Source organism: Homo sapiens, chromosome 11 (assembly GCF_000001405.40).
Source record: "Homo sapiens chromosome 11, GRCh38.p14 Primary Assembly".
NCBI classification, from domain to species: domain Eukaryota; kingdom Metazoa; phylum Chordata; class Mammalia; order Primates; family Hominidae; genus Homo; species Homo sapiens.
The window spans coordinates 112,359,141-112,367,558 of NC_000011.10; the positions used below are offsets into that span (position 1 = coordinate 112,359,141).

Genomic DNA, 8,418 nt, shown 5'->3' on the forward strand with positions numbered 1-8,418 from the left:
GCAAACAATATCCCCAGGAAGGATTATGGGAGATTTGGCTTCTCTGAATGCACCTGGCAGTGTATTCTATGTTGCATTCTCCAAAAAACAATTGCCTCTGCAGACAGTAGATAAGACACGTGAGTGTGTGTGTTTGTGTGTGTGAGTGTGTGTGTGTGCATGTGTAAGTGTGCACACACACACTGAGGACATGGTGTGGTTGAAAGGGTATGGATTTCAAAAGGCAGGCAGACCGAGGTTTGAGTCCAGCTGGACTGTCACCAACAGTATGACCTAGGACATCTGTAAAATTGGACTAACAGAACCTATATTGGGAGGTTGTGTGAGGATCCAAAGGAAGCCACAGCACCACCAGAGTTCCGGAGACTCAAATGCTCTCCCCAAAGGGCAGAGTGGAGGCTGAGGATGCCCTTCAGTTCCTGGAAAGTTCTCTCTCTCCCCTGGAGGCTTATATGCATGATCCTTGTCCCATTTTTGTGGCATTTGACAGTACTGCCTGTTGTTCTTTATTTTTTTTTCTCCTTTCTCTCTTTCTTTCTCTTTTTTTTTTTTTTTTTTTTTGAGATGAGGTCTCACTCTTTTGGCCAGGCTGGAATGCAGTGGTGTGATCTCAGCTCACTGCAACCTCCACCTCCCAGGTTCAAGCGATTCTTGTGCCTTAGCCTCCCGAGTAGCTGGGATTATAGGAGCGCACCACCAGGCCTGGCTAATTTTTGTATTTTTAGTAGAGATGGGGTTTCATCATGTTGGCCAGGCTGGTCTCAAACTCCTGACCTCAAGTGATCCACCCACCTTGGCTTCCCAAAGTTCTGGGATTACAGGCATGAGCCATCGCGCCCGGCCATTGTTCTTTGTTGTTATTCTTCCTAATGAGACTGGAAGCACCTCAAGGGTGGGGCCACATCCAGTACTTCTTTCTGTCTTGCAGAGAAGTTCACGAGGTGGATTGGCCTGATGGGTCCTGGCTCCACTGGGAAGACCCCTGGGAGAATCTGAATCTTCTTGGAGGATGGGTCTCTGCTCTGCTTCTAGTTCTCCACCTCCAGGTTGGGAGAGGGTCCTGACACCAAAAGTTCATTTCAGAATCTGCCTTTCAGCCCTTCCTTCTGGTCAAAGGTGTGAGTATGGCTGGCATGATGGGATGGAGAGAACATGGGCTTCTCAATCCCCAATCTACCACTAGTAAGCTATGGGAGCTGCAATCCTCTCAGACCTCCGTTTCCTATTCATAAAAATGGGAACAATAACACTACCCTCATGGGACTGCTTCTAGGTGCAGTGACAGGGCAGCGGCACCATCTAACACATTAAAATGTCAGTTTTTCTTGCTAATACCATAAGGAGATTTAAAATATAAATGTATCTATAAATTCCCGGACCCCAGTGTTGCCCCGTTGAATAGAAACTACTGGAGGTTGGGTTCTGAGAATGTGAATTTTTGAGGCACTCCCAGTGAGACTCTGAGAAGCCGCGATGTTTGGGAATGACAGCTTTTCCATTCTTCAATTCCAGATGCTATTCATAATGAGATGTGCTACCGATAACAACTTCTCAGGAAAAAATGTGTGAATTACCAATTACATTTATACATTTCAACCTCAGACTCATTAAAAATTGCACCCCTGGACTGTGCATTGTCTCAGCTGTGGTCACAGGACTGAAGGAGAAGTCTATGTGGTGTGAGGCAATAACCATGACTGTGATTAGACGGCAGCCTCGATGATCACCTGGTATATGCCATGCTGGGAGGCCACTGAGAATGCTCTGCATCATCCCCCAGGCCTGGGATGCAGAGTGTCGGGGAATCAGTCCTGTGTCTCTCTTCTCCAGCATCTCTCAGCTGGATGCACCGGGCTGTCTTTGTGGTTCAGACCTTCAGGAGCCAAGCCAAATTGAGTCAGAGCATGCTCCTCAGTGTCTGCCCCACCACTGAGAGGGGTCAGCCTTCACCTGGCATCTGGCACACCAGTCTGCACTGGTGGGGCTTCTTCGTTGCTGTTGGAGCGTCTTTGCTCCTCACAGAGTTGGGAAGGGTGGGAGGGCCTCTTTCAGAGCTCTCTGCCCCTTTCCCTGTGTTGGCTGAGTCCCTAGGACTGTACTTGTGCGTTGATTTCCCTCTTCGGTTCATTGTATTTGTCAGGATTCAGGCAGGAAAACACAAACCAGGCTTGGTGTATCTGATAGAGGAATTTAACACTGGCTATAGAATGTGTAGATGTTGGAAGGCTGGGATGGCAAGAGGGAGACTGTGAGGTGGCCCAGGGCTTATGACCTATAGAAAGCTGCTGCCCCAGCTAAGGCTGGGGGAACAAAAAGAAGGAGGGTTATCATTAGGATTTGGGATGCAGAGGAGGAGCCGTAGCCTCGGGAGCATTGCTGTGGAGGAGGGACTGCTGCAGCTAGAGCTGAGATGATGGAAATAGCACAGCTGCTTGAGAGACATCACCTGGAGAAGAAGGAACGAGAGAAAGAGTGAGAGGAATAGAAGATCAACACTACTCTCCCAGCATCTCTTATTGAGAGAGCTTGTGAAGAAGTCAGCTGGCAAAGGAGCCAAGTGTGACTGAGCAGTGTGCAGAGAGTGTGGTGGGCCTGGGAGACAATAGGCAAACAATGAGTACATTCAGGCAGTCAGCACAAATTTACTAAGTACCTTTTTTTTTGAGACTGAGTCTCACCCTGTTGCCAGGCTGGAATGCAGTGGCGCGATCTTGGCTCGCTGCAACCTCCACCCCCCAGGTTCAAGTGATTCTCCTGCCTCAGCCTCCTGAGCAGCTGGGACTACAGACACACCCCACCACACCCAGCTAATTTTTGTATTTTTACAGGAGACGGGGTTTCACCATGTTGGTCAGGATGGTCTTGATTGCTTGACATCGTGATCCGCCTGCCTTGGCCTTCCAAAGTGTTGGGATTATGGGCGTGAGTCACTGTACCTGGCCTACTAAGTGCCTTTTAAATGCCAGACACTGTTGTGATGCTGGGGGGTGAGCAGGGAACAAAACAGAAAATCTCCTGCCATCTAGGAGCCAGCATCTTAGTTGGGGAGACAGTCAGCAAACATAAAAAAAGTAAAATATGTAATCTCTTAAATGGCAGTAAGAGCTATAGAGAAAAATGAAGACAGGAAAGGGGCAGAGAGTGGTGGGAATGAGGGGGTGGGCAGGAAAGGTCTCACTAAGAACAGTTTAAGCAAAGACCTGGAAGAAGCCAGGCAGCGAGCCCCGAGGCTCTTCGGGGAAGAGCATGGCAGGCAGAGATACAGCAAGGGCAAAGGCCTTGAGGCCTGCCTTGGTCAAGGAAAAATAAAGAGGCCTGAGCAGAGTGTGCGAGGGGAGAAGAAGTAGGAAATGAGGGCAGGGGGATACAGCTGAGCAGTTTGGGCTCCAGAAATAAAAAAAAAAGGGGACCTCTTAGGATAAGCGGGCCACCTAAAAATTCTTTATGCAGGTTTTTGTTAGGCCCTGGGCTCCCTCTGACTGATGACCTGGGTGACTTGCACTGACATCCCTTTACCCCTCTTGTAGGATCACAGAGAGGTCAGAGGGTGGGGCTGGAGGACAGACCCTGCAGGGTCATCATAATAGCTTTGGCTTTGATGCTAAGTGAAATGGAAAGCCTTCTACCCTTCTCAGTGCCCACTATCTCCTCCCCACACCCCAACTCAGGAGTGGAGCTCTCTGCCTTGACCCCCAGCTCAATTACTGGGATTCTCCTTCCCCTGATCCCGGCAGACACACCTTCTCAACTAGGCTGCAGGCTTCCCCAAAACAAAACCCCTGCCTATTTTACATATCACTGCACATCTACCTGGGGCTTGGCTCCCAGTAGGGGCTTAATAAATACCCGGTGAACGAATGAGCAGTTAAGCAGATCCTCAGATCTCACATTGGTCACCAGCTTTGTGACTCAGCTGCTCAATCAAAGTCAATGTCAATTGGGTGCACAAAATCAGTCCATTAGTTAACTGGAATCAGCCAAATAATAGGGCAGTTGCTTGACTGAATTTCTAAACTGGCCACATGAAACCTGTGTGGTTACAGTCTCAGTCTCCATGAAAACTTTGGGGCTGCAGTGTTACTGCACAGAAGGTGTGTCCACCCCACTGCTTTCTGGTAATGATGGAAGTTTTTTCCCCCCATTTATTAGTGATGAAGGGTTTGTTGGAGATAATTGTATTTTTAGCAGCACAGTTAATGAACTAGCTAAGCATCAATAGATGAAATCATAAAACCATTAAACACCAAGAGCAATAATGGGAAACTGCGTCTGGTGGTAATGAAATTAAGTGTCTTTATGAGGTCACTTTATTACTTTTCTCCTCGGCTCTCTTGCCCTCCCAAGTACATGGTGACTGCTGCTCCTAATTGCTGTTTCACTAAAATGCACAATGCTCTCCATTTTGTGTTTTAAATTCCATGTATTTCTAGGGCCTTCAGGATCACTAAACCCTCCACCAAGAGAATGCAATAGAAGTGGCGGTTATGAAAGTTTCTGGAAGTGGCCCAGTAGTACAGAAGAATGAGGATAGCAGAAAGGGTTGAGAAGGAATTAAGAAAGACCTGCTGGACTTTACTGAGCCCACACTGATGAGTCATGTGGTCAAGGTTGAGCCCATGCAACTTTGGCACAGCCTCCAAAGCCAGGGCAAAGTCACTCACAGAGGGACTGGATGGCTATGGTTAGACCTGTGCTTGAACCATGCTTTTCAGCTTGGGAGCAAACTCATATGCATAATTTCCTTTGACCCTGTGACAATCCCATATGATACGTTTTTACTCTCACTTTTCAGATGAGGAAACTGAGGCTCATAGAATCACCCGGGTCCTGCTGCTGCGTAGAGGGCAAAGCTGGTGTGCTTTCCCCATGCCAGAGGCCTTAGGGGTCTGGAGCCCACTCACTTGCTAGTGATTTAAACCTTGTGCAACCAAACTCATGGCACCATACTTAATGCAATAATTCAAGAAACATTCTTTGAGTATCTACTGTAGGCTAGGGATACAATGAGCAAAACAGAATCCTTCTCTATCCTCAGGGAACTTAGATGTACCTGGGGAGAGTTCCACAAGCAACAACGTGTGGTGAGTTAGGTGAATCAGAGAGAAAGCACCATGTTACGGAAGCTGCTGGCAGGAGGCTCCGATCTCATCTACAGGACAGAGAAGCCTTCCTGGAGGAAGCAAGGTTTGAGATGAAACCTGAAGGGTAGAAGATAAATAGATGAAGGAGGGGGAAGAGCACGCAGGCCAGGAGGAAGCCTGCACAAAGGCGTGTCTAACATGTAAGAGAAATTGGTGGCTGAGGAACTGGATTGATTTAGGAGGCATCATCAATTGATAAGGCTAAGGAACTGATTCAATTGTGGGGCTCATGGAGAGACAGGAATTAGGAACCCGCTCCCCCCACAACCCCAGTTCCTGACGTGGCCACCTGTGGGATGGCAGTGCATTTACTGAGACAGGGAGTGCTGTGGAGGAGCCTAATAGTGGAAGTGAGGTTGGGAGAAGATAATGAACGGTTATCTTATCTATGGTGATGAAAATGAGCCCTAAAAGGCAGTTCAGCTGACCCAGCTTTGTTATGATCTCAGGGCCAAGAACTGAATTAAAGCCCCGATGTAGACATGGTGTTAATTATTTCATTGAGGCCACCCATTAAGGCTGTAAACACTGAGTTTGTTTCCACCCTACTGAGAAATCGAAAGGACAGAGTGAAGCTTCAACATGATCGTCACCAGCTGGAACAATCAGGCTTAACACGATGAAATTTAACAGGGACAAATTTAAATTACACTCCTTAGGTTCGCAAAATCTGTTGTTTCTGTAAAGGATGAAAAACCTGACTTAACAGCAGCTCATGTCAACAGAACCTAATAGAGTCAGTTGGCTATGAATTCCACACAAGCTGACATGGTGATGTGGCTGGCCTTTTGTAAGGAACATGGCTATACTGCAGCCAAGCAAGGATAGGCCGAGGTAAACATCCTGCGTGACTCAGCCAGTTTATAGCGCAGGAGCATAGCTCCACTTGTTGTATAATCACAGCCATGTAGCCATAACATGGGAAGGCTCATCACTTGGCTTGGAGCCACTATCATCTGTAAAAGGTATAATTTCCCTGCTGACACTGTACAGGCATGCTTGTGTCCAGAGAAAGAGAGAGAGAAAGCCAGAGCTGTCTGTTTTGTAAACGGACATGGGGGAGCCAGGACACAGCTTGGCTTGCTTGTGCCCGTAGGGCAAGAGTTAAGCTGCTAACCCTGAAGAGAGAGCTGGTTGTGCAGCTGTATGTGGGAGCCACCGGAGCAAGCAGCCAAGACGGAGACAGTGTAAGAGAGATGCTGAATAAAACCACATTTCACCTACTTACGGCCCCCTAAGAGTTCTTCCTATCCATCCGCCATTCATCCACCCACTCCCTTAGGACCTCAGCATGGGCTGGAACCTGACCTTAAACTTAACACCCTTCTTCCACTTCTAATGTCCCCTTGATGTATGAGATATTGGAGAGGAACCCATGAAGCTTCCTCTGATCAGGATAGAGAAGAACCTGTAAGAAAAGTGCAGCAGCCAAGGAGAGAGGCCAGCTCAGAGATATGTCTGTAGGGAAGTCAGGGCTGGCTTGTAGGCTCGAATGTTGGGGAGCTGCATGCCATGTGATTGGAGGGTGTCTCTAACAAAACACCTGAAAAAAAAAGAGGCAAGGGACATAATTCTTAGCTAACAAGGGGGCCTCAGAGAGAGGGATTTGTTAGGGCTAGGAGAAGAAGGAAGGATGCACCAAGGAAATGATAAAGGATGAAGCATTGCAGAAAAGCCAATTGCTGTATTAATTCATTTCAGTCATGTGTTTGAGCTCTGATTTTGTGTATAGCCCTATGCTGTGGGAAATGCTATGAAACAACAGCCACAGAGTCAACAGCGCTGATTGGTATGGCTCAGATGACCAGTGCTGTTCAGAGGATGGTGAGGGGTCACCAGGGAAGAAGCCATGGAGGAGCTGAAGCTTGAGCAGGCCCTTGATGGAAGGGGTTGGGGAAGATGTCACTGCAGAGCGTGAGCTGGGGAAGATGAAGAAATCAGCTGACTGGAGTCTTCAGAAATGGGGTGGAATAGGTAAGGGAAAGCCCAGATCTGGGCATGCTTGGTGGGCCAGGGAGGAGCTGAGATGGGTGGAAGGTGTGGAGGTGAGCTCTTACCTGGGGAATACAGAGTTCGTGGAAGGGTCTCCTGGCTCCTGGCTGGTGAAGCTGAATTGAATAATGACGCTGAACCTATAACTTTCCTCTTGATTGTTTTCTCTCATCGTAGCGTGTGCCCTGTGTTGTTGACTACCCTTGTGTTGTGCTGATATTCCATCACAGAGGTGAGTGCCCAGAGAACGGTAAGGAGGGAAGCCCAGAGGAAAGGCTTTGCGGGGAGAATCCCCACTGCTTTCTTATGGGAAATCAAATGAATGAGATAGGGGTGAGCAGGTAATATCTAAATTGTACAGAGTCCCCCTTCTTCCTTCTTTTCTTCCTTTCTTTCTTCCCTGGTATGGTTTGAATGCATCCCCCCAAAGTCATGTGTTAGATAGTCCCCAAGGCAAGTGTTGTGAAGTGGGACCTAATGGGAGGTGTTTAGGTCATGAGGGCTCTCCCCTCATGAATGGATTAATGCTGCCATATAAAGGGTTTCTGGGAGTGGGCTCTCTCTCATCCTGCCTTCCATCATGTGAGGACACAACGTGCAAGGCACCATCGTGGAAGAACAGAATGTCTTCATCTGACATCGAACCTGCTGATGCCTTGACCTCAGACTTCTCAGCCTTCAGAACTGTGAGACAATAAATTTCTGTTTACAAATTACTCAGCCTGTGGTATTCTGTTATAGCAACACAAAAAGAAGCCACCCCCCATTCCTCACTCCCTCCAACCTTTACTGAGCAATAGCTGCCTAACTGTTTTGTGCTAAGGGATGGAGATACAAAGATGACTGGAACACAGTTTCTGCTCCCTAGGAGTTCTCAGTCAAGACACACAAGTAAGTAACACAGCTCTTTGATCTTAGAATGTACTCTCAATATACTAACAGATTTTCAGAAGAAAAAAAGTTAGAAACACTACCACACTCAGTGTCCACATTAGCAAAACATTCTGGTTTCAGAAACACTCAAGTGTGAAAAAAAAGTGTTTTAAAATTGAGCAGTATGAACAGAGTAATCATTTTCACAATAGGAGTGGTCCCATTGACCTATCAAAACATGAAAATGTGGGGGAAAATGTGTCTTGGAATTGGTAGTTACAGCGGTGTGATCATTGTCACAATGGGTGGGAACAAAACGCCATTGGAACCCACTGGAGGAACCCCTTAATGCTGTGTGGGAACACCAGACAAGGCTCCTGGCAGGAGATAGTGTTGGAATGCTGCCTTCTAG

At 47.6% G+C, this 8,418-nt stretch overlaps 1 long non-coding RNA gene across 1 annotated transcript in view, besides 1 other annotated feature; it reads left to right on the forward strand.

Annotated features, from left to right (window-relative positions):
• LINC02762 (long intergenic non-protein coding RNA 2762) overlaps positions 1 to 3,394 on the forward strand; it is a 91,786-nt gene extending 88,392 nt beyond the window's left edge. The window contains exon 4 of the long non-coding RNA NR_126004.1: positions 929 to 3,394. This is a non-coding gene — a long non-coding RNA (long intergenic non-protein coding RNA 2762). The remainder of the gene's footprint in view (positions 1 to 928) is intronic.
• Positions 6,353 to 7,552: an enhancer, noted in NCBI's record as "BRD4-independent group 4 enhancer chr11:112236216-112237415 (GRCh37/hg19 assembly coordinates)". NCBI's record gives its function as "activates an origin of replication core promoter dependent on BRD2, P300/CBP, MED14 and CDK7 cofactors, and independent of BRD4, by STARR-seq in HCT116 cells {active_cell/tissue: HCT116}" and the evidence as "EXISTENCE:reporter gene assay evidence [ECO:0000049][PMID:35650434]".